The 27482-nt window shown below is 36.3% G+C and overlaps 1 protein-coding gene and 1 long non-coding RNA gene across 8 annotated transcripts in view; one reads left to right on the plus strand and one right to left on the minus strand.

Moving 5' to 3' along the window:
- The window catches only part of CADM1 (cell adhesion molecule 1), a 335180-nt gene that overhangs the window by 208330 nt on the left and 99368 nt on the right, over positions 1–27482 (minus strand). The gene's annotated exons all lie outside the window — the stretch shown is intronic.
- Positions 19191–20093, plus strand: CADM1-AS1 (CADM1 antisense RNA 1). Of its 2 annotated transcripts, none has more exons than NR_135103.1 (2): positions 19191–19326; positions 19701–20093. It is a non-coding gene; the product is annotated as a CADM1 antisense RNA 1 (long non-coding RNA). The 2 variants fall into 2 exon arrangements; NR_135102.1 differs by having other exon boundaries at positions 19704–20093.

Consider the following 27482-nt stretch of genomic DNA (forward strand, 5'->3'; position numbering starts at 1 on the left):
AATAATTCTAGAAATAAGCTGATAATAATCGCCAAAGCTCAGTAGTCATTCAAAATGGGCAACAGTAATAATTCATATACCTAGGCCTATCTTTAAGTTCCATTATTCAAGAAGGAAACTAGTATTCTCACTTTATTTTTTTCTGAATGAATCTAGAAAATACTTTATAGATAAGAATATGTCCACTCTTGCAAAAGATACCAGTGGCAAGCTTCAGTGTGAAAGAGACAAGTATCCATGTGTCAGATGACAGAGTTGCCACTGATTTATTAGCAAATTGAACTTTTGCTTTAAGAGAAAAAAACTTCTCAAAATCTGTATCTGATAAATTAACCCAGTCCTTCATGAACACCATTTCAAAAAGACACTGCCAACCTTAAGTTTGAATGATTCATTGTACTGTAAATATTTGAGGTGAATATGTCTGGTAGCAAGTGTCTGAAACAAGAACCCTCTTGCAACACAACCGAAAAATCAACGGACAATGTATGAGACAGTTAGGGTGCAGTAATGAAGCTGACCTCAGACTATTTCCATCAATACAAACACTGACAGCAAGTTTGTTCACCAAGTTTTCAGGGCCAACAACTTACAATTCAAACCTGGGATCAATTTATGGACTCTGCTATTGTTAATGACCACGCAGGGAGAGTAATACCAGAAAACTGACAGCATCCTCAGGACTAACAGATCATCTCCCAGAATGTGAAAATGAGATAAGTCAATTCCGCCACCTTGTCTGCACCTTGAGAATTAAACAGCAACTACCAACTGATATCAGAAATTACTCTCATTGGAGGTTGAACACCTGATTCTCCTTTGCCACATCAAGCAGAGACTGTCAGATAAGAGAATGACAGGAAAATTCATTCCATCCACATTTCCTGCACTATGGAAAACTGCACGGATACAGAGCAAACCATCAAAGAAGTATAAGTCAATAAGTACATAAATATATAAATAAGAAAACTAAAATACAGTAAGAAAGGAAACTACAGAATAGGGGTCAGCAAACTAAGGCCTGTGATCCAAATCCAGCTCACCATGTGCTTTTGTAGAGCCTGGAAGCTAGGAATAGTATTTGTCAATGGTTGAAAAAATTCTTAAGAATATATCACAACACCCGAAAAACACATAAAATTCAAATTGCAGTGTCCATAAATAAAGTTTTATTGGAACATAGCCATGCTCATTCGTTTACATATTGTCTACAGCAGCTTTCACACTACAACAGCAGAGCTGAGTAGTTGTGAAAGAGACCGTATGGCCCACAAAGCCTAACATATTTACTACCTTGCCCTCTACAGAAAAAGTTTGCCAATCTTTGCTATAGTAGAATGAGACCTAAATTCCTAACCTTTGATGGCACATTACGTGAGCTAGCCCCATCTTCACCCCTTCAAGCAATCCTGATATTTAGTAATTTAAAGAGGTTCCCAAAAGAGGAGATTTCACAATAAATGATAAATGTCTCTAGCTAGATGATGTAGCATGAGTGCTTACAAACTGATTATCAAGTTTTGTCTCTGGTATACACATATAAGTGCAATGCAATGTATAATATTCTAATTAAATTAAAGAATGGCTGCACAAGCCATGTTTCTATTAGCCAGGTCTTATTTGATTTAGCAGCAGTAATGAATGCTGAATCAGGTTAGGGTTGCTAAGATTATCTGGCTTTGCCAATCTACTAAAATTAGGATAATAAAACTAAAGATATGTAATACTGAAGACATTTAAAAAGAAAACTCGTTTATCTTCAATTAAAATATCCACAATACTGACAATAAACTTACTACTCTTCCCTATAGAAAGGTTGGGTTGAGGAAAACAGCACATTAAAAAGAAATTCAGTCCAGCATGGGGACAATGGAGTTACATTTTAGAAGACCAAATGTAGTCTGATTTTCTTGTGATACCAACATTTCCCACATTTGTGTAAAAAAGCAACAGGGAAAATAAAGAAGCTCACAATATTCACTGACTGACAAAGTACTGCACTAGATTTTTTGACTCCAATAAAGCTAAGCCCCTTACATTGAACAGGGAAGGGGTGGTGATTGTGTTTCTTGATATAAGCAAAACCCTGTGTTATGAAGACATGTTAAATTATTTACTTGTTTGAGCCACTGGGAGGAACTACGTGGTCATGCTTCTGCTCAACTTCACTTTTTGATAGTAAAAATGAGATTATGACTCATTTCATTCTGCAGATTTTATGAGTTTATTGACACAAACACAGAAAAACAAAAACTCCCTACAGAAACTATATCAGTCATCTTGGTATGTTATAAAATACAGTATCTTTAATACTATTTGTTTTAGGCACCAATTAATTTTATGAGGTAATAGTAAAACTGCAGGCTCTTCCTCCCCCTACAGTATAGACTATATAATAAAAATCAACACATATAGGTCAGATCAATGGGGTGAAATAAACTATTTGAAGTCAGTTCTGAAGACGTACTAGTTCCGGTCCTTAAAAGACATTGTATTCCTAGGGTTTACAGCCCCTTCGCGTTTAAAACCAGAGCATCCAGATGCTACACTCAGAAAGGAAGAAATACAGTTCCTCTATTTCCTTATTTCCATAATTTCAAAGATGTAAAGTGAATTTGGAATATAAGTCAAACAGGAAACCAAGAAAAATACAATCGGGGGAAGAAAGAATTATAAAATGGTCAGTTGGCAGCCGAAGAGAAGTTACACAAAACTGCACTTACACTAGCTCTGATTTTTGAACTCAAGCAATTCTCAGCCCTCGCATGCCAGTCCTGATTATTCTCTTAAAAGTGCTACTGTGTGCCATCTTCAAAATATTAAACCATCCATCAGTGTACGTGATCCCATTAAACCATCTCTGGGTACGCTATCCAGCTGAATGAAAATGAAACCCTAATGATTATCTGAGATGGAAACCAAGTGATTTAAGGGGAAATAGAAAATGTTTTCTGAATTTATCAAAAGGCAAACAATATTTTTACAACTTTTTCTATTCTCTACCACCAAAATAAATAAATTAATTAAGCAAACATTAGGCTCCCTTGCAACTTTTAAATACTAGGATATTAGCATTAAAAGACTATGGCTGTCGAGGCCCTCTTTCATTTTTTAGTAATAGCTAAAGAGGAGACAGTGAGAACACCATAATTAGAGGTAATCAAGCAATAGCTAGATGATCATACGTGTATGCTGAAAATGGAACTCAGGCACTCATTTTGGATGAGAATCAAATCATCTCCAGGTTTCATCTCTGAAGTATAACATGATTTAGGCTACATAAAATGAAAAACAACTACAGAGAGAGAAGCTACCTCTAACTTAAATAAGAAGCTTAATATTTGTCTAAACTCTTAATTAGCAATACTTTTTAAAAATCCAAAACAAACATATTCCTCTTAGTAGTGCTAAGAGGTTCCCTTTCATACAAACCTTAAAAATAAGGTGGTAACAGGCCAGGCAAGGTGGCTCATGCCTGAATCCCACTTCGGGATTCTGAGGCAGGTGGATCACAAGGTCAGGAGTTCGAGACCAGCCTGGCCAAGGTGGTGAAACCCCATCTCTACTAAAAATACAAAAAAATTAGCTGGGCATAGTGGCAGCCACCTGTAATCCCAGCTAGGGAGGCTGAGGCAGGAGAATCACTTGAACCTCGGGGGTGGAGGTTGCAGTGAGCCGAGATGGCGCCACTGCACTGTAGCCTGGGCAACAGAGTGAGACTCCATCTCAAAAAAAAAAAAAAAGAAGGTGGTAACAACAACTTTCAAGACTGTGCAAAATGCAATTCCAGAACAAGATGACAAACTGTAAATACCATTCAGGGTCAACTCTATTCTAACTACAGAGGAATAACAACAGGAAAGCAGACAGTAATGCACAAGGTTAACCCACTAATCACTGAGAGTCCACAACATGTAGCAAAAACAGTACAAGCTTTGAAATCAGATAAACCTAGGTTCATAGCTCAGCTCTAATTTTTACTGAACTATTTGACCTTGGGAAAGTCACTAAGCCTTAGTGAGCCTCACTTTCCTTATGTATAAAATGGAGACATCTTTCTCATTCGGTTGTTATAGGGATTAAAAGAGAAACCATATGTAAACTATTGAAAACAATACCTGACACACGAAGTACATTAATCTTATTCCCTCCCCTCCACAATTAAACAAATAGTGACTACATGTGAGAATGTGCAAGGCTATGCTAGGGCACCATTCCTCAAGTGTGATGCATGAGATGACTTTTAAGTGGTATACAAATAAAAATCTATAAGTTCTAATAATAGGATTTTTTTTTTGAGACAGAAGTCTCGCTCTGACACCCATGTTTGAGTGCAGTGGCCCGATCTCGGCTCACTGCAACCTCTGCCTCCCGGGTTCAAGCCATCTCCTGCCTCAGCCTCCCAAGTTGCTAGGACCACAGGTGCCCGCCACCACACCGGGCTAGTTTTTGTATTTTTAGTAGAGACAGGGTTTCACCATGGTGGCCAGGCTGGTCTCAAACTCCTGACCTCAAGTGATCCACCCGCCTCGGCCTCCCAAAGTGCTGGGATTACAGGCGTGAGCCACCGTGTGTGGCAATAATTAGGATTTTAATGTAAATATTAATATGTATTAAAAGAAGATACAGCCCAACAAACCTGTAATTTCATGGCTAATACTGATTTGCATGAGGTTGGGTAAAAAGGTAAACCAATTTAAAGAGAAATATTATGTAAATAATAATACTGTTAATATAAAGATCCGGGGTAAGTCACACAAGAAAAAAAAATACATTCTAGGAATATAAAATGCACACGAGAGGTTTCCTGTCCTCAAAAAGCTTACAGCTTAAGGGCTGTGCAGATCAAGAATGAGCAAACAAATGAAATACCCCAAGTAAGAGTTCAGAAACATGTATGTTATATTCAAGAAGAACAGTGCTAAAAGTCCCTCTCTTCTTGGCTCTTTTAACATGTATCACATATAAAAGCTCTTTAAAAATAAATGAGTTTAACAATTGTCATGCTGAGTTGTAACATAAGCTGATTTGCAAGTCCTTGTATAGTGGCATGTTAGAGATTTTATGTTAAATCTTCTCTTTGAATTATCCAGGAAATCATTATTTTCTCACCTTTATTTCCTTTATAGGAAACTAAGAAAACAAAGGTTTCTGCTGGTTTAACAGCCAAATCACTCAAGACACTTGGAGCAAAACAAGGAACAATCTACTTAAAACTGTAAGATCCAGGAACGCTAAATAGTTTTAGACTTCAGCAAGTATCATCCTTAGAGATGGTACACGTGACAAGAATAAGCTGAATTTGCATTTGAAAATAGAGTGAAACAAACCAAGTCTCCCTTTAAAGGGAAATGGGTAGCAAAATAGGGAAGAAAAAGAAAAGGACTTTACATGTATTCCCAAGGAAAATCACAGACTCCTTAAAAGCTCTCACAATAGGCTAGCCCTTCTTAAAACTCTGACATATCTTAAAACAAAAGTCTTATTATCATCTCCTAACTCATACAATGTATTAACTTTTGCTTCTTTAATCTATTTTAAAGTTGTCTTCCTGCATGATTCTTCTATAACATTTTAACAGTAAACCTGCATCATGTCAAAATTTATCTGTACATAGTATTAGTTTAGATAAATAAACAGGTAGATAGCTACAGGCAACTGAAGCTATGTTGAAAGGGATCGAATGCTATCCATGCCCAGGAAGCGTACAGCTCTATTTCAGAAATGTACAAAAGGAGAATATTCAATGCGAAAGGAAATACATAAAACAGAATAAGTGAAAAGGTAACCAGCAGTTACATTCTCTGAAATACAGTGAGATATGCTTCTATAGTTTGGACCATACAAGGTAAGAGCATGTTAATGGCTAATTAGGATCCTGTATTAGCTAATAGGCAAGAAGAATAAAGCTTCAAGACCATATCACAAAAATCACTGTCATACTGACATTCATTCCAAGTGTCGCTACAGCATCGATTTTCTTAGAAGCTTTATGATTCAGCTGCCTTTGAACCACAGAGCAATGCCCACCTGCATCAGTGGCTAAGTACAGCTGTAGAACAGACAGACGTGGCAGACTTTAAAAATTATCTTTTCCCCCCATGACTTGCTTAGAAAATATGCACAGTGCAAAAAAGTTTATAAAAATTGGGTTGGAATTTTAGAGAGTCTCTAACAGAGTTTCTTAGGAATTTCTGAAACACAGATTTTATTAAAATCCCCTGTCTTCTGTTAACCCAAATGGCTGATCTTTATTCTGGTTCTTTTGCATCTGAATTTTTAAGTTAATCATCCTTAATTACCTTTCATAGCAAGAGCCAATAGCAAAGGACTGAAAGAAACAGGTTGGAAGCTCAGTAGATCCTAAGGTTTCCCTAAGAGCTCCTGGAAAAAAAAAAAAATTGCAACTGATCTTCATCTGTGTAGAGAAACACAAATCCCAGGGTCACTGCCACTAAATCGGCAGACCAACGTGATGAGCACTGCCATCAATATGGCTATTCTACCTTGACTTTTGAATGTCAAAAATAATATGGACAGAATTGACTAAGCAGTCTCCGAGGTACTGCCTTTAAAATTTTTAACTTCATGGCCATTAAATATTGAACAGATAATTGGATTTATCCCCTTCAGTGCTTTATGGATGTACAAAGTACCTACCTTCTCCTGTTTTATTCAAATTAATGGTGCTCTTTTAAAGTGTCTGCCCTGAGTGCACACTATAGCCGACTCATTAAAAGGATGCTTCATCTTCTGCTTACCAACTCTTTTCTCCATTTGCAGTGAGAGGGCAAAAACCACACTCAAACCCACATTGACAGTTAAGGGCAAATCCATTGAGAGTCACCCTTAAACCTAGACTCTTCCCTCCCTAAACTCAAGTACACAGTGTGATTTGGCAGTCGATTGGCTGTTATCACAGAAAACCACAACACAGAATCCATTCATTCTGTTTTTAATTAAAACATTTACAAATGCTTCTTTGCAACTGGGTAGCTTACTGCTACATTTTAAAATCAAGTTTGAAGAACACAGGGATGCCAGTACCTCTCTAGAGGATTAGCCAAGTGAAACCCTGGATTGTGTATTGGACAAGGAAAAAATATATACCCATGGAAAGGCTGTGCAATTCACACTTGTGATAAGGCATTTCTATCAAGTATGACTAACACCTACAAACGTACAGTCTGAAAATAACTCTGGTGGAGGTGTTAGTGGAAAGGGGTTAATGGAAATAATGTTTTCATTTTAAACAATATAAATCCACAACTGGCATTCCACTGGCCCGTGACCTCCCTTTACCCAATCCTTGTTCAAGTCATTTGCTAGTGTAATTGAAACCTTCTTTGAGAGTCTTTAGATTTCATTTCATGTTTTGGGGACAATACAGCTAAAAGACATTTACCATCCATCTTTCTTAACATTCCTAATCTAAATAGAAGACCCAAATCTAAGACTGTGCTTTTGATGGATCACTCGCCTCCCTATACAGTAGAGCTTAAAGAGATCCTATTATTGTTTTCAGAACCCTTACAGAAAACATACATTCATACTCATTTTAGTTTTTACCACCTAGCCACCTAGCTGAACAGCCTTTATTTGTAAAATGTGCTTTCCAAAAAAAAAAAAAACAGATTTTCAATTAAAAATTTCAAAAGAACAAGTTAGAAACAACTGACCCATTAAATGCAGATGGGAAAAAAGGCTTAACAAGATAACACACTAACAAATACACAAAATTGTGGAAATAGGATTTGCTGCTCCTGAGTACAATGCTAAAAATATTCCAAAGCTTTTTCTATGTGTGAGTACTTCTAATACAGGTCTCCATCTGTTCATTTCTCTCAAGAGTTGAAACAGACAATAAAACAATGCCTCCAGCCAGCCAGCAAATGCCTTCACTATGACTCTACTAAGGGACATGCATCTGAGAATCATCTCAATTATTCTATTACATATTTGAAAATATGATTTTTACTTTATGTTTGCCTTGGAATGTATACAAAGTCTGTCTAATAAGAAGTGGACCAATTCATAATTTATAACAAGAAAATGTAAAGGATTAAAGAAAAAAAAAAAAAAAAGCCCGCCACAGGTACATATTAAACTGGGGCTAACTTAATCAAGATTTTGCAATCTGCCAGAAAATTCCTCCCAAATATAAGTAGATAAAGCCTTAATTTCACCACTCAAATTGACTGCCCAGACCAGCTAACTGGCTGCACAAAGGCAGCCTCCCTTCATCTAAATTTCTAAGTTCTTTGACTTAACAAAAGTCACAACTGACCAGTATAAAAAATAGAAGCAAAGCTTGCTGACAGCTCCCTAGACTCTACCTTTCTAGTATCTTTGGTGTTCAAGCTACTTTATTTCTTCCCTGCATTGGGATTTCCTGTATAAGAACAGGATAAAACTGAACACATTCAGATATTAAGATTACTTGAGTTACCTCTAACAAAATTACCTGCTGGAATGAAAGAAGCAATTTTGAAGTTTGTTGCCACCCTTAATTCTACAAATCAAGATCTGTCCTAGAACACCATTTCACCTTAACCTGTCTGGCAGTTCATTAAGTCATTCAGGATTAACTGTTGTGAGTCCATCATTCCACAAACCCGTTGTAATTTTGAAAAAGAAAAGGACATGAGACTATTGCATGGGCAAAGTCCATAAATTCCAAATATTAAAAAAGAAAGCTTATATATCTGACCACAACCCTAAGTGGGAGGAACACTTATATCCTATGCAGAGCTGGAATATATGTCAGCCTTTATATTAAATGTATTTTTAAGTCTTATTGTTAAAAAAACAAAGACACATGTCTTAGTCTATTTTCTGTTGCTTATAACAGAATACCAGAAACTGGGTAATTTATAAAGAAAAGGAATTAATTTCTTACAGTTATGGAGGCTGAAAAGTACAGGGTCAAGGAGCCACATCTGGTGAGAGCCTTCTTGTTTGAAGGAACTCTCTGCAGAGTCCCAGGACGGCTCAGGGCATCACATGGTGAAGGGGCTGAGTCCGCTAGCTCAGATCTCTCTTCCGCTTCTTATAAAGCCACCAGTTCTACACTTCTATTATAACCTATTAGTCTATAACTCATTAATCCACTAATCCATGAATAGATTAATCAATTCATGAGGGCAGAGCCTCATGACCCAGTCACCCCTTAAAGGCTCTACCTCTCAATACTGCCTGCCATACTGGGAATTAAGTTTCAACATGAGTTTTGGAGGAGACAAACATTCAACCAAAGCAACATGTGATCAAGAGCTTAACCCTTGAAAAATGCATATAGTTGATATACCCACTATTCAAAGATGTTTTCAAAGTTAAACTAGAAGAGTGGGAACTAATGAAATTTATCACCAGTAAGCTAGCATCAAGAAGTAAAATATAAAAACAACAACAACAACCAAGTAGCAACAGTGTATGGAAGCAGGGAACATAACCCATTGTACACAGACAAAGGGGCTAAGCAAGCCTCTGTCGTGAAGTGCCTGTCACTTGCCTTATCTGTGAACCAAACATCTCTTATTTTCTACTATACAAAAAGCTAAGGCTGGTCACAAGAATCAAGGGTTGCTTTTCTTCTCTTTGAATATCTAATAAGTATGCTTGATTAAAAAATAAAGTTGATCATTTTAAACTTGAAGAGATGAACCCCATTTGCTATAAATAAATGACCAACTTCTAGCAGTAATACATGTCTCAGTATACCTTTATACAGAGTTTTGAATTTGGAAAGCATATTAGTGTTCCACATATTCAAAAAATAAAATTAATAAACAAAGATGGGAAAGATAAAAACCTAAAATTGAAAGGAAAATGAAGCAAAGGGAAAATGAAGCAAAGGGAAATTGTACTTCAAATTAAAAACATAACCACTATGAAGAGAGGTGAGAAAAAGAATAATATAAGTTACGAACTCAAAATTTTACTATCTACCCTATTCTAAGAAAGTGTGGAGGGAAAACATGTCCTGAACTTTTTAGTAGGTCTTTTTCTGTAGTAGTATGGGTGACATAATTTGAATCTATTTTTAGATGTATTAAAGGACTGAGTAAATGAACAAATGTGTTAGGCAGCAGGGTTTTCACTGTGGAAGAATAATACATTATAGAATGGAGATAAGCATTCTCTGTGAAAATGGTTTGAACTTGGAAGTATTAGTGTGAACTCACAATTCCTAAAATATGTGCTTGTGTATGCACACATGCATGTGTGTGTATATTATTTTTCCTGTCTCCTAAAAAAGGCCTAGAATCAAATCTACCCTGTTAGTAAGCAGCACACCTAGCACCCCAATATTGGTTTCTAATACCTTTCTCCTCTAAAAAAAAAACAAACAAACAAACAAAACTACCCAAAAAACAAAAACAGAAGTCATCAGAGAAATGGTTGATTACAGGGCTAGGGCAGGGAAAGGACAAGATAAGCCTAGCACATCTCACACCAGAAAAAGTTAGTGCTGAGAAAATGATGGGAGCATATTAGAAGAACACAAGAGACAATCTAAAGGGGCCCCCACCAATTAAATCTAGGACAATTTGAGCACCAAAATAATTAAGAAAAGTAGTGAACTATACACCACTAAAAAGGGGAGTCTATAAGTCAATACGACTGACAGACAGGCAGACAGACAGATAGATGGATAGACAGACTGACAGACAATGAGAGTGGGTGGGTGGATGGGTGGATGGGTGGATGAATGGATAGAAAAATTCTTTATAGGAGAATGCTAACTACTGACTGGTAAAGGTTGATGAAGTGTTATAGTTGGAAAATCACCATAGAAAAGACTGGTTCAAGCAAGGATCATCAATAGATGTTAAATCTAAGGGGTGAGTTTTGAAGAGGAACAAGATATTTGCATGCTCTTAAAGTGCCTTCCCACGGATTGCTTATTAGTTGTAAGGGTTAATATAGTAACTATACAGTAGAAAAATCAGGCAATGCCCTGATCAGATAACCAAAATTACTATCACCAACAAAGGGTAGAAGGACATTGGGTACCTCTGGATGTAATAGTGTAATCTCCAGAATAATAGTGAAGGACATGTTACTTCAGTATTATTCTGGTTGGGAATACACAGCCTTAATCTCATCATGACAAAACATCAAACTCAAAACTTTTTTACCTAAAAAATAAAAGAGGTGGGGGAGTTCTGTATATTTTTTAATGTCAATGTCACAAAAGACAAAGAAAGCCTGAAGAACTGTTCCCCATTAAAGTAGATTGAAGAGACATAACAGCTAGATGCAATATGTAATCCTGGACTGGATCTTGCACTGTAGGGAGGAAAATTGCTATAAAGGATATCATTAGATCAACTGACCAAACTGAAATATGGAGAATGCTGACAGAAGATTAGATAAAAGTATTATGTCAATGTTAAATTTCCTGAAGCTAATAATTATACCATAGTTACATAAGAAAATCTTATTCTTCGGAAATATACTCTGATGTATTTGGAGGCAAAAAGACATGGTGGATGCAACTTACCCTAGAATGGTTCAGAAAAAATGCACAGAGAAAGATGGAAGGGAAAAAGATAAAGAAGGAAGGAGTGAAAAAGACAGAGGGAGAGTTCACAGACACAAATGATAAAGCAAATGGAACAAAATGTCAATAAGAGGCGAATCCGTGTAAAATGAATACGGGTATACATTGTACTATTTTTGCAACTTTTCAGTAAGTTTGAAACGATTTCCAAATAAAAAATGTAAACAACAACAACAGACAAACAAAACAATGTCTTCACTCACACAGCCTTGTGAATTTAAAATAACATACACGGTGTTCCTAATCTCATAACTTTATTTCTGGAAATATCACCTCAATGTGGAAAAAGTCATATGTGCAAAGATATTTGTCAAAGCATTGTTTATAAAAGCAAGCAACTTGAAAATACCACATGTAGTTTTCAAAAACTGAGGAGAATGGTTAAATTATGCTATGTAAATTCCAAAGAACATTATGCAGTATTTAAATGTGTTTACAAAAGTTTATAACAATTGAAAACACATGACATGATATTAAGTGCAAACAACAGGACTAAAGATGATACATATAGCATGATCACAACTAAGTAAAACAGGCAGATAAAAGGAAAAACCTTAGACAAAAATGCCTATAAAGAAATCCAAGAAACTATCAATATTGGTCATCTGTTCCTAGGAGATGGTTCATGGATGATTTTTTTTCTCTTCTACTAATAATTAATTAGATATATAATCTAATAATTATATAATACAAAAGAAGCTTTATTCTTTAAATTATAGAAGTTAGTAGGAATAAGTTACATTTACTTATCTTCAGGAACACCTGTTATGTAAGTAAATTATACTGTGGATGTGCGACTATCAAAATCGAATCTGAGCTACTTGTAGTCTCAAAGATGGGAACTAAAACAGAGAAGTCATAGTCATACTAGGAGACAGTCGTAAGTGGTACTTATTTAGAGTTGTGCATCCACACATTCATGAGCCATTAATGCCTCTTTTCTCCTTATTCTGAGCCATCAGAGGATAGTGGGATTACTGTGTACCCTCCCATCCCACCTCCCCCCATGTCACAGGAGAAAAAAGGAAAAGCAGTGGTGCTTACAAAGATGGAGCATGTGACAGTGGCTTCACTGATTTCAAGCTATTAATTTTTGAGCTAAACAGTCACATTTCTTACCACTCCTGCTCAGAGTATATGTTCAAGCTGAAATTCTCCAATATTCTACAAGTCGAACTGGACAAGCCCAATTATATTGGGAAATGGTGATATTCACTGAGAGAGAGGGAGAAGGGGAAAGGGTTGGGGGGCAGGGAGGAGAGGGAGGAAGGGAGGCGAGAGAGAGAAGGAGAGAGGAAGTGTAGAGGAATATAGGAAGAAGAGAAGTAGGGGACAGAGGGAGAGAAGGAGAAAAGCAGGGGAGAGACTGAGGCAGAGAAAGAAGGGTAAGAGAAAACACCTGTGCTTTGAAAAACTAAGTGACAATGATCAGATGTAAGTGTTTAGTTAACTGAAAGGCTGAAAGGAAAACTGAAACAGCACCACCATTCATTTTCTAATAGGTTCCCGGAGTCACCAGCAAAAGGTTAGGCTACTCTTAAAAAAAAAAAAAAAAAGGTTGGGGGAGGGTGGGAGTATTAAGAGAATAGTGTATAGCAAAACAAAAGAGGAAGTTTCTAGATTAAACAATTATTACAGCTCAGTTCCTGTTTAAGACCTTCACATTTGTGAGCATTTAATTGTATTTATTTCTAAATGTACCCTGGTTTGAGTAATCTTGAACTATGAATCTCATAAACTCAGCCAATAAAATAATTAAAATTCTTTTGCCAAGTTGATATGTATGAAAAAGTCAAACACTTCATTTAAAACTTATGTGAGGCACATTCATAAGAATACACTAATTTCTCATTCAGATTTCAAATTGAATCCATTTAATGACTGCCGATAGCAAAGCAATAGAAATGCACAGAATAGTCATGCAATCGACAATTACCCAAAGTTCCTCTCATGTTTTATGAATCAACAATTGTCTCCTAACTTGTGAAAGAAATCAGTGTGAATTAGCGTCTAGAATCTTATAACCTGTCTGCATTAAACTATAAAAAAAATGAGTACAATTAGACATACAATTTAAAGAATTCATCAATTTAAATGAACAAAAATAAAGAACTTCTCTGTGATCTCATGTTCCTTTTCAAGACAACACACTCTCAGGGCTGTCTGGTTTACCACTATTTCTTCTTTACATTCATGTTCTTTATCAGCAAAACGATTACAATGGTCTTTCAGACTTGAGTGATGAATGACAAAACAACACAGTTCCATTCTAAAATGTGAATGGCCGTGGAGCACAGCTCCAAAAACGAACTGCAATGGTTATGCCAGAGAATAAATAACATCCAGCAACAGAATCAAATTCTAAAATTAAGCAAGAAAAAGAAGTAGAAATAAAAGGAGAAGGAGGAAAAGGCAAAAGAGAAGAGGAGGAGGATGCGGGAGGGAGAGAGGAATCCAGAAATTTCAACACCTGCATCATGAAAAATGTTTTTTCCTTTTTCCCCAAAACAAAACAACACTAGCACTTACTGCAAGACAGATTATTTCTCACCAGGTGGTGAAGAAATCTCACTCCACCCTCAGATTCACACTGACAAAACTTCTCTTACAGCTATGCACATTCTGACATACAAAGGCCACAAACTCAGTGCTCTGGTGCTACAGCTGGTGGAGCCTGATTAAAGGCAGAGTTCCCGCCCATGCATGCAGACAGGAAGATCAACTTACAGACCCCTTCAACAGTGTACAGCAGGGCTCTGGACCAAGGTGATTCATTTTAGCTATCCTAAAAAGGAGATCACCCACAGAGCACAGAATTAAATCTGTGTTATTAAAAAAACAAAATATCAGGCCCACACTAACAATATCACCACAAAGAACAAATATTTCTATACAAGAAAAACAACAAGTCGTTTCTGTTCACATGTCATATTCTCATTACAGCCAGTCCTAACCATCCCATTTAAAATTGTAATCCTTTCCCTAGTACTCCTAGTCCTTCTTACCTTGCTTATTTTTTTCCATAGTTGCTGTCATTCTTAAAATACTATACAATTTGTTCATTTATTGTGTTAATTGTTTATTTCTTACTCCCCACTCAAATATATGTTCTATGCAGGGGGAGATATTTGTCTATTTACTCCAGTGCCTGGCACGTAATAGATACTCAATAAGTGTCTGTTAAATAAATGAATCATTCATTAAGTTCAATGATTTCTTAAAGCTTTTCCTATTCAAGCAGAAAAGGCAAAAATTAGGCAGAGAATTTCTAAAGAGTTATAATAGGACATATAAAGGCTTATTACCTCTACTCTAAAAAGCCTATTTACATTGATTAAACACCACACAGACACACATATACGTACACATTAAACATTGATTCAGAAATGGGTTAAAGAACCTAAAACCCTACTGAAAAGAAAACCAAATGGTTAATAAACTTTTGGAGGAAAACAACCTCGCTGACAGCAAATAAACACAAATTAAAGCAAAATTATATTTTTCCTCTGCATAATTATCAGATACTTTAAAAACTAACATTCGCATTCCCAAACACAAATGACCATGTGGTGAGATGGTCATTTCCAGCCAGGAGGAAGGAAATCAAGACAACCATTATCTGACCCAGGAATTTCAATTGTGAAACCTGCAAAGAAACACTATATAATAGAGGCAAAGATCAAATACAAAGATATTCATGAAAGCAGTATTTACAATAGCAAAATTCTGGAAAAATCTAGAGGATTAAAAGTGGTGAAACAAGCCAGGCACAGTAGTTGTGCACCTGTAGTTCGCATGTGCTCAGAAGGCTGAGGCTCCTGGGCCCAGGGAGGATCTCTTGGGCCAGGAGCTCAGGGCTGTAGTATGCCATGCTTGCACCTGTGAATAGCCACTGCAAACCAGCCTGGGCAACATAGCGAGACCCCATCTCTTCCAAAAAAAAAAAAAAAAAAAAAAAAGGAGAAATAGCCCATTCAATTATGATACATCCACAAAATTAATTATTATATAGTCTTTAAAACATATGCTTGAAGAATATTTACAAAGACAGAAGACTGCAAATAATACAATATTAAATAAATAAAAACAAGAAGAGTCTAATCTGAACTAGGCATGGTAATATGCATGGAAGGTGAAAAATATTAATATCAAGAATATTTTTCTCTGAGTGGTAGGATTATAGCTGAATTTTATCCTCTAAACTATACTTTTATGGATTATCTTTTTTATCAACATAAAGATATTCTACCTTTAGAATTAGAAAAAAATTTTAAATGAAACAGATTTCACAGAAGACTGAAGGAAAGAAAGACTTAATAGAAAAGTTGGGATAAAATATACTTTTCGGGGTTGTCATTAATCAAACAGAAGAATGAAGTCTTAGTAAATAAAGTATTAGAAAAAAGAGCAAATGTTAACAGTATCTGAAAAAAAAAAAACATAGAGGTAGCATTTTTTAAAAACAGAATGCATTCTTATTCCCCTATTAAAAAAAAATCCACAGCTCTGAATAACCTTATAGGGTCCATTCATTCCAAAATTATCTCATTAAAATTTGTATCTTAAAATTCAATCTGAAATTTGACAAGGGATCTTTTCAGTTTTAGTTCCTAATCCACATAGCTATGAAAGAGGAACAAACCTGAAAAAAATGAGAAAATACAAAGCATTATGGCATTAGCACTGTCCTTACCATGAATATAAACTAAAGTTACTGATAATAAATGGACTTTTCAATAAATCAGCCAAATACAGAGTCACCGACCACGGTAATAAATCATCTGCTATGAAAAGGCTGAATTTATTGAAGAAAAAAAAAGAAAACAAAAAACCTTTCTGGATGGTCAGAAGAAAAAACTACCCAAGCTCTTAGGGAAGCCCTTTTTCATAGTATGTACAGGTAGAGTAATCATTTTGACTATCTAAAACAAATTCAAACATTTAGAACAAAGACAATGGTTGTGCTTACAGATCTAGATCTACAGACTTAACATCTGCACATGCTCATTGGAAATCTACAAGGCAGTGTCAACAGAAATATTAACATCCTTTGCAGTCATCTTACAGCACTGCTTTATAAAATTACATCAGATCTCTATCTAAAGCAAGTATTAGAGCTATCCATAGATGCAGTAAAAGAGAATGTGAAGGAAAAGTAAGAAAATTCAAGCAAACCTATTACTTTTCTTTTAAGCTCAAATATATTTCTTAAGGCTAAACATCAGAAGCAAGATGCTTGGATACCAACACTTTCCTTTATGACTTTAGCTTTCTATCTAGCTCCAGAGGGAAAATCATGTTTACAAGAACCACGAGACATGTGAAAAGCAATAACCAAGATAAATGAAAAAAAAAATGCCGGGTTAAGTTTTAGTCAGAACTTTATTGCAAAGGTAGTTTGTTTTATGAGATGAAGAAATCTACTTCTCGTCTTCTCTAGCGTTACATATTGAAAAACGAAAACATGATTAAACTATTCTTTTAATGTCATCTTATTTATAAAGAGCTTAAGGAAAACAATCTGCATGCAGACTGAGCACACTACAGAGATGGTGCATAGTGTGGAACCCAATGTCAAAAACTAAAGTTCAATTTCCAGTGCTAATCAAGTTTCTGAAACAGGAGCTCTGTTGATTTCCCTACGAGCCACATGACTTTGTTTTATAGTCTTGATGCAAAATTTCCTAAAATTTTGAAGCCAATTTTTTTAAAAAGTAGAAAATAAAAAAACAAAACAAAACGCTAGAGATAATTAATGTTCATCCATTATTCATTCCAAAAGAAAGGGAAAAATTCGTGGGTCAGAGATTGATTACTTTTATAGCATGTTCTTATACAGAGGAAATGAGACTTGGCATAAAGTAGGAAGGGGCACAACAGATTTATAAAAATCAAATACACGTGTGATATTTAGACTTGCCTTTGATAGTTCAATTTTCAGCTATTCATATATAGAAAGCAGAAAGCAAACTTGTCTGTATATTAGAATCACTTAAAGATATTTTTTAAATGCCAAAGCCCAAACCACACCCCCAAACAATTAGATCACAATCTTTGGGGGTGACAGCAGGCATTCAGGATTTCTTGATGCTCTCCAAGTTTGGGAATCATTGACGTAAAGTACAGAAAACAAACAAATTCTTCTACCTTCTTTCAGATTTCTCATTGGGATTATCCCAGAGAACTGAAGGGGGAGAAAAAGATAAAGGGAAAAGGAAAGAGTTGGGAAAAAATTACTAAACCAATGCATTAATCTACATCTGCTTTTTAAAGCAAATCATTTACACACATACTCACTGCTGTTTCTGAAGCTGGCTCAACAAAATGCTGAAAAAAAATCATTATAGAGGTACATGGCATATTATGCTGACATGAGTTTCTACAGCAGAGCCCCAGTCCTTTAAGAAGGATTTGGGTGAGAGAGCAGAAGACAGATTATTCTCATAAACACAAAAAAAGGTATGCAGATTCCAAGGTGACTACCACAGCTTTCTAGTGACAAATCGCCAGCAATCGGAGATGTTTGAAATGTGAACTTGCTTAACCTTGCCTACTTTAATGGTTTATTTTAATAAGGGGAAGGATATTAAAACTCTCTATTAAGTTCAAACATGGAAGAAGAGGGCAAGAAAAAAATCCTAAACCCTGTAATTCCAACTTTTTTTAAAAAAGACTCACTGTAGCTAATTTCCTAATTTTACATATTATTTAAACATAGTCCAAAAGATTTTAGTTGCTACATAGCATTTTATTCTCCTTCTGTCCCGTATTTCTTTTTTAAAGAAATGATTTAAGGTACATGCATTCCATTTGTACCATTGGTTCATGACATTCAAAGAGTTCATCATGCACACAGGATCACCTGTGTACTTAGCTTAACTCTGTAGAAATCTCTCATCCCTAGGAAAGAACCTAGATTATTTTTATGCCATCCAAATGGGAGACTGTCCCAGATACCAGATGATGAAGGGGCCCCTGAGGGACCATAATGCTAACGTGCTATGAGCACTACAAAATTTGACTTCAAAGATGCCTCTCAGTTTGGCAGGGCCTCCACATATGTCTGTGAATAATAAAGATGTGGTTGTCATTGGTGGTGGAAGCAAAGGGCGCGTGTCCTTGTGAATGTGACCACATTAGATTTAAGATAGAAGAAAGTCCTTTACAAGAAAACCAGAAAAAATGGTGTATCAATTTATGTGCTACAGACATGGTTGTGCTTCATTACTGTAGCATAGGATTAAAAACATAAATCTTGACCACTCTTCAGAGAGCCAGGGTTGAGCTACATAACATTTTTTCCTTAGTGCTGGCTTTTTGGCATTTTGGTCATTTCAACAATATTCGTTGGCCAACCTTCAACAAGTCACCACTTAACTAACTTTATTTATTTATTTATTTTTAGGAGCACATAAAGGTGAAGGGAATACTTCTTTTCCAAAACAGATATGCTGGAGATTAACTTTAGAGTTGTTCTATTTCATCCTAAATTTTCCACTGCTTCTGTCCTGCAGTGAAGTCACAATACATCTGTGACAGAATAACTCCCATGGCAACAGGCTGACATCATAAACACCAGATTAAGACTTGGCTGCAAAGCCAAAGGAGATGATGGGCTGGGAAGGAAGAGGCTATAATTCAAACAAATCTCTGCCATAATAGCTATGGGAATACTAAACATTACTGGCCAAGTAAATTGCTTTCTGTATAAGCGTTCTCTTTTTTTTTTTTGAAGTTTGCCCCAGTGTGAAAGTCTCTCTGTAAGTCAAAACCTTAGCATTATTTTAATGTACTGTGCTGTATTTAATAATCTTATGCTTCAGACATTAGTCTGTTACCATGGGAATGACAGCAGCATAAATACAGGATTATGGCTATCAAGCAGGAGAAAAGAAATTATGAATAAGCCTCGTTATGTTCAATAATTAGCAGCTACATGGAAAAAAACAAAACCATGAATTTAGGTTGATGCATTTATCTCAGTGTTTGAATACAACTCTGAGTGTGTTATTGCTTTAAAATGAGATTCTAACAAACTGCCAAAAACTTCTTGACTAGCAGTTGTTACTCAGTGCTATAATTTAAAAATTCATCCTGTCCATCTCTTTTTTCTCCTATTTATATTCTTCCCCAGCAGAAGATTGGTAACTAATGGGTAATACACAACATTCCAAGATAGATTCTGGTATCTTGAGCCAACATATCAGGAGAATGGTACAGAAAAACTGAACATTACCAGCCCCTCTACCTTAGCTAACTGCAAAATGAACAACTTCCAAGGACTTGCTGCTACTCTCCCACAAAATGAAAAGTCTATGTATCAAGATGTAGAATAGTACAGCTAAGCACAAGGCTCCTCCCCAGTCAAAGAGGAGCAGAGAGTGAAGATCACTATCAGTAAAAGCGCTGGCCTAGAGTTCCATCACTAAACTGATATGTAACCCAAGGCAGGTCTTCTTTCTTTGAGTTTCAGTCTCATCATCTTTGAAGTGAGAATAACAGAGCATAAAAGTCAAACTTGAACCAACACATGATCTGTATAGCTCATTTTTTTATTCTCAATGACAATAGAGACATTGTACTCTATCAGTTACGTTAATGACTAGGAAGTGTACCATACAGTTGGAACTCTTAACAGGCATGCACCCCTTTGCTAATTGTAGAACAGATTAACAAAATGGTGGATAAAAATTTTGAGACTAGCAAAGATGGTTAAAACAATACCTCCCTAAACCCAGAGACTACATCCAAATATTGAAGAAAGTACTGCAGCAATGCCACAGCATCAAGTCTTCCCTGAATATTTGGGGAAATGGGCACATCGCCATACTTTTGGCATCCTATGGAATCACTCACCCTCTCTACAAGAGTATCATTACTCATTTTCCCATCCAAATCAGATGACAAGAACGAAATCTTAATCTACTCATAAACCAGTAAACACTTGACTAAGATCAACAGCTCCTTGGTACTTTCAAATTTCCTTAATCCCCTCTTCCGTGAGGTTTCTGCATTCAATGGCAGTGGCACAACACATCATTGGGGGAAAGTAATTTTAGAACGTGCCATCCAAATTAACTGGTCGTGAATAGGCTCTGATTAAAATATAAAAGGCTTTTAAAATAATTTAAAATGATTCACTGGAACTAATTTGGAGATATTTTAATCTCTGAATGTGCAATGAACTGTAGTCTCCCTTGGCCCCAGCATCTCCTTAGAGAGGAACATTTCTTGTCAGGCCTTATGCCACTGGATTAGAGGTATTTGAGCCATATGAACTAAAATGGCCATGCCTGAATCTCCCCCTGACTTTTCTGACTTGTGTCTCTCCAACTTAAGCATGGTTCTCTTCCACGTTCCAAACCAAATTGTATATACTTCCCCTCTCAGTGAATATTGCTCATCTGTTTACTAGGCCAGATAGCTAGATAATTCTAAACACAACAATGTGACAATTATTTAAAGAATCACATGAGATCAAACAATCTCAGCTTACATTCTTTAGTCATTTGTTTAAATTCCATTTTAGATTAAACAAAACAATATTTTCCCAACCTAATATTCTAACATATTTATTTACAGGGATTCCACTAAGGCCACTTGTGAAACAATATCTAAGCCACATTTAACTAGGCTCTTTTAATGTGACTATGACATTCAAGAAGATGGCTGATGCTTTAAAAAGTGCCTACTTAGACCCACTACAGATTCCTTTACAAAATCCTTTGGTGCCTGGTCTCCAAGATTTCCTGAATCTCAGCCAAAGACCCTTCAGATAACAGGAGGGAGAGTTAGTCTCTATTTTTATATGTTCTAGACATTGTTGTTTCTTTCTGAGCCATGGGATAGAGCTGGAAAGAAGAAATGAGCAACAAAATCTATATATTGGAGCACTGTGATAAGGATAGATATTCCCTGATTTAATCTTCCCAACAATCTGATACGTAGTTATTATTACACCTATTGAGTAAATGAGGAAATAGAAGAAGAAAAAGATATCCAACTGAGTTATCACACAGTAATGAAAAAGTGAAATTCAAACCTAATACAACTCCAAAACCCAAGTTCTTTCTGTTGTATCCTTACGAAAATCCAGTCTTCTTGAAAGTTGGAAGCTGGTCCTTTTATTCTTCTGTGCAATCTCAGAGACTACACATACAAAGAGTTCTTAACAAAACACGTATATCAAGTAAAAGAAGCAAAGTGTTTACAAGAAATTATCTAGTTTCTTTTGTCAAGCCAATCCCCTGGCCCAGACCAGACCAGAACAGAGCACACATGAGAAGTATGACTTACTGCTACAGCATCAGAGAAGAGGAATGAAACCCTCAAAATCCATCCATTTTGAAGCTGATGTATCCAAGCATAAGATTGTCACTTACCTAAAAGAAATATGAGAGAAAACACCATTATTGTAAATGTAGACATTCACCTCTCAGAAACTTTACCTACTAATATATTAAAACACACTTTAATTTTATAGTCAATGTATCCTGAGCACCATAGTATAAAAAGAGCTGTTTTTTTTCATCTTTCAATTTTTCAAAGCCATCCTCATTCTTTTTTTAACAGAGTATTTAAATTCCAGTCTTTTTTCTCACCTTTACCTGGAACAGTCTAACTTTTTGTGATGATAAAACATCTTTAAAATTCATGTATCTTCTCTCCAGAAAAATCACATATAGAAACCCTCTTTCACATAGCGTTAGCCAGTTCACAGTCCACCTGCGGTCTACCCACTGACCTATATGATGAACATGACATGAGAGCAGGCTGTAGGATATCCCTGAATCTTACACATGCTGCATAATTTGCTTTAGAAGCCCACAAAAACTTTAAATTTCCAGAAATGTGTGATGTACATACAAAATTCTGCACCCAGCCTATATAAAATGCTCATTCTTTTTCAGAATAAATGACATATCAACAAAGAATTGGTCGATACTAGGTGGCAAAGAAAGTCTCTAGAAATAGCAAAGAAATGCTAGCTACTTAGATGCCAACTAGGTCTGTTGGCTATAAAAACTTAAACAAATTAAAAACAAACAGACCAAATAATTACCAAGAAAACCTAAAAAAGAAAAACAGTGTACGTGTGTGTCTGTGTTCTACATCAGGATAGGGAAGAGGCAGGCACAACCAGATATTTCAAAATATTATACAGCTTCTACAAGTGAAAGAGTGTGGTTTTGCTGCGTGAAGAAACAGAATAGAATAAAACAAAAAGCTCAGAAAGTGAAAAAAGTATACATAGAAAATTGGTATATGATGAGACGTCACATCTCAAATCAATGTGGGAAAAGATGGCCTTTTTAATAAATGATATTTGGACAACTGGACAGCCAATGGAAAAAAATTAAATTGCATTCATACTTCACATTATATATCAGAATACTGTCAAAATCAGACCTACATATATATATGGTGGTGATATATATATATATATAATATATATATATATCTCTCATATATATAATATATATCTTTTATATATATGTATCATATATATGTGTGTGTGTGTGTGTGTGTGTATATATATATATATATATATATATATATATATATATATATATATGCTTATTTGCTGGTGATATATATAAGCATGTAAAAAGATGCTCCACATCAGATTTCATCAGGGAAATGCAAATTAAACAACAATGATGTATCACTGTATGCCTATTAGAATGGCCAAAATCCAGAACACCAATAACACCAAATGCTGGGGAGGGTGTGGAGCAGTAGGAATGCTCAGTTACTGCTGGCAGGAAGGCAAAATAGTACAGCCACTTTTGAAGACAGTTTGGCAGTTTCTTAAAAAAATAAACATACTCTTACCATACAATTCAGCAATAATGCTCCTTGGTATTTACCCAAGAGTTGAAAACTTATGTCCACACAAAAACCCGCACGCAGATGTTTATGACAGCTTCATTCGTAATTGCCAAAACTTGTAGGCAACCAAAATGTCCTTCACTAGGTGAATCAATAAACAAACTGTGGTATACACAGACAATAGAATAGTATTCAGCGTTAAAAAGCAATGAGCTATCAAGCCATGAAAAGACATAAAGGAACCTTAAATTCATATTAATAAATGAAGAAGCCAAACTGAAAAAGCAACCATACTGCATGATTCCAGCTATATAACATCCTGGAAAAGACAAAACTACAGAGACAGTAAAAAGATCAGGGGTTGGCCAGGCGCGGTGGCCCACGCCTGTAATCCCAGCACTTTGGGAGGCCGAGGCGGGTGGATCACGAGGTCAGGAGTTTCAGACCAGCCTGGCCAACATGGTGAAACCCCATTTCTACTAAAAACACAACAATTTAGCCAGGCATGGTGGCGCACGCCTGTAGTCCCAGCTACACAGGAGGCTGAGGCAGAAGAATCGCTTGAACCCGGGAGGCGGAGGTTGCAGCGAGCCGAGATTGTGCCACTGTACTCCAGCCTAGGTGACAGAGCAAGATTCCATCTCAGCAACAACAACAACAAAAAGATCAGGGGTTGCCAGGGATATAAGGGAAGAAGGAATGAACTGGCAGAAGGCAGATGATGTTTAAGGCAGGGAAAATACTGTATAATGATGAATATGTGTCATTATACCTTTGTTGAAACCGACAGAATGGACAACACCAAGAGTGAACCCTGATGTAAACCATGGACTTTGGGTGATAACGGTGTGTCAGTGTAGGTTCATCAACTGCAACAAATGTACCACGCTGGTAGAGGATGTTGACAACAGGGAAGGCTATGCATGTATGGGGACAAGGAAATCTCTGTACCTTCTTTTTAATTTTGCTGTGAATTTAAAACTGCTACAAAAAATTAAGTCTTTTTTAAGAAAAAGCCCAACACCCCCACAAAAAAAAACCCACATAACTTTTGAAAGAAAACTTGAAGTCTGTTATAAAGTTAGAGAAAAGGCAGATCCAGAAATAATAAAAAATAACTTTGTGTACATAAAAATGTATTTTATAAAAACCCTTGTGCATAGCAAAATAAAACAAAATGCCATCAGCCAAAAGACAAATGATATACTTGGAAAAACAATGTTCGCAACCTATCACAGACAAGGGAATTATAATGCCTAACATATAAAAAGCTCCTAAGGTCCAGGTACGGTGGCTCACACCTGTAATACCAGCACTTTGGGAGGCTAAGGTGGACAGATCATGAGGTCTGGAGGTCGAGACCAGCCTAGCCAATATGGTGAAACCCTGTCTCTACTACAAATACAAAAATTAGCTGGGTGTGGTGGTGCGTGCCTGTAGTCGCAGCTACTCAGGAGGCTGAGGCAGAAGAATAGCTTGAACCCGGGAGGCGGAGGTTGCAGTGAGCCAAGATCATGCCACTGCCCTCCAGCCTGGGCGATAGAGTGAGACTCTGTCTCAAAAACAAAACAAAACAAAACAAAACAAAAAAGCTTCTAAGAAATCTAAAAGAAAAATACCAGCATTCCCACAGAAAAATAGGCAAAGGACATAAACAGGGAGTATACAGAAGAATAAGCAAAAATGGCTCAAAACATGTGAACTGATGCTCAACTTTATTCATAATAAGAGACATAACATTTTTTTTTTCACTGATCAGATTGGCAAAACTCCAAGTTTGACTACATACTCCGTTTATGAGGCTGAGGGGAAATAGCACCTTTGTATGTTACTGGTGAGAAGGCAAAAGGGTATAAAACTCTAAATGAAGGGAGTTAGGTGCTAGCAGAGATGTAGAAGTAGATTTATAAATCAGTACAGAGGTAAACATAACTCACTAGAGAAATGATGGACTCTTCAATAAATGGTACTGATAGAACTGCAACTAACAAATGTGGAAAGGATGATGGGAATAGAAATCATTTAGCAAACACCATAGGAAAGAATGCATGCTAAAATTACAAAGAGAAAAACAGTAACTTCACTGTGGAGAAACGTGGCAGACACCACCTTAGCCAAATGATTGAAGTTAACGTTGCCAATAACAGGATAAATGGGTATTATAGACTTCCTCATACGTTACACTGAGGACACAAATCACATTCTTGCAAACAAATGCATAACAAATTCAACCATGAGAAAATATCAAAAAAATCCAAACTGAGGGACATTCTTCAAAATATCTGGCCAGTACTCTTCAAAACTATCAAGGAAGGTCATAAAAGACAAAGGTGGAACTGAAAAACAGTCACAGATTAAAGAGACATCACTAGTCAATGCAATGTGTAATCCTGAATCGAATCCTGGAGCAGCAAAAGGTTGTTAGTGAGAACAACTAAGAAAATTTGAATAAAGTCTGGAGATTAGATAATAGTACTGAACCACTGCAAACTTTCTGACTTGATGGTTCTACAGTGGTTATGTAAGATGTTAACATTTGGAGAATCTAGATGAAACGTCTATGGGAATTTTTGGCATTGTTTTTGCAATTTTTTTTTTGGTAAGTCTGAAAATAGTTAATTTTTTTGTTTTTAATTTTTTTTGTTTTTCTTGAGACGGAGTCTCCCTCTGTCATACAGGCTGGAGTTCAGTGGCGCTATCTCGGCTTACTGCAACCTCCACCTCCTGGGTTCAAGCAGTTCTCCTGCCTCAGCCTCCCAAGTAGCTAGGACTACAGGTGTGTGCCATCATACCTGGCTAATTTTTGTATTTTTAGTAGAGACAGGGTTTCACCATGTTGGCCAGGCTGGTCTCGAACTCCTGACCTCAAGTGATCTGCCCTCCACAGCCTCCCATAGTGCTGGGATTACAGACATGAGACATTGTGCCCGGCCTGAAATTAGTTTTTTAAAGTTCAAATTGGTTTTAAAATTTCAAAAACAAAAGTCAGTTTTTAGAAAAAAAAAAAGTATTTTTTTATGTGTGTTTTTCAAAGCAGCATGGAAACAACCAGATATCCTCATAGAAAAAAAATAAAATTAGGCTGGGCACAGTTGCTCACGCCTGTAATCCCAACACCCTGGGAGGCTGAGGCGGGCAGATCACTTGAGGTCAGATGTTCGAGACCAGCCTGGCCAACATGGTAAAACCCTGTCTCTATGAAAAATACAAAAATTAGCTGGGTGTGGTGATGCACACTTGTACTCCCAGATACTTGGGAGGCTGAGGCAGGAGAATTGCTTGAACCCAGGAGGTGGAGGTTGCAGTGAGCCAAGATCATGCCACTCCACTCCAGCCTGGGCGACAGAGCAAGAATCTGTCTCGGAAAAAAAAAAAAAAAAAAAATATATATATATATATATATATATATATATATATATATATATGGCCCATTTGCATATCATACACAAAAATTCCAGATAGGTTAACAAAAGTAAAACGCAAACTTTTAGAAGAAAAAAAGAGAAAGGGAGAGAAAGTACCTTTTATGACCTCAGAAGTAGGAAAGGCTTTTTAAATAAGCAAAAAGCAAAACCATAAAGGAAAAGATTGAGTTTGCCTGCATTAAAATTAATATAAAAGTTTTATAAAACAAAAAATAACATAAATAAAAATAAAAAAAAACAAGCCATATACTTAATTGCATATAACCCGCAAGGATTAGTATTCAGAACATAAAGAATTTCCACATTTCCACATTATCAAGAAGGCCAGGCACTGTGGTGCACGCCTGTGGTCTCAGTTATTTGGGAGGCTGAGTTGCGGGGATCACTTGAGCCCCCGAGGTCAAGACTGCAGTGAGACACTCCAGCCTGGGCAACAGAACAAGACCCTGCCTCAGGAAAAAAAAAAAAAAAAAAAAGACAAAACAAAATAATCCAATAGAAAAACAGCAAAGGATTCGGCATTAGGAAACTGAGAGAAGAGAAAACTCAACAGGCCAATAAATGTGAAATGATTCTCAACCTTACAAGTCAGTGAAATGCAGATTTTTGTTGTTGTTAAAGAGTCAGTGTCTCACTATGTTGCCCAGGTTGGTCTCAAA

This window comes from Homo sapiens, chromosome 11 (assembly GCF_000001405.40).
Source record: "Homo sapiens chromosome 11, GRCh38.p14 Primary Assembly".
Classification (NCBI taxonomy): Eukaryota; Metazoa; Chordata; class Mammalia; order Primates; family Hominidae; genus Homo; species Homo sapiens.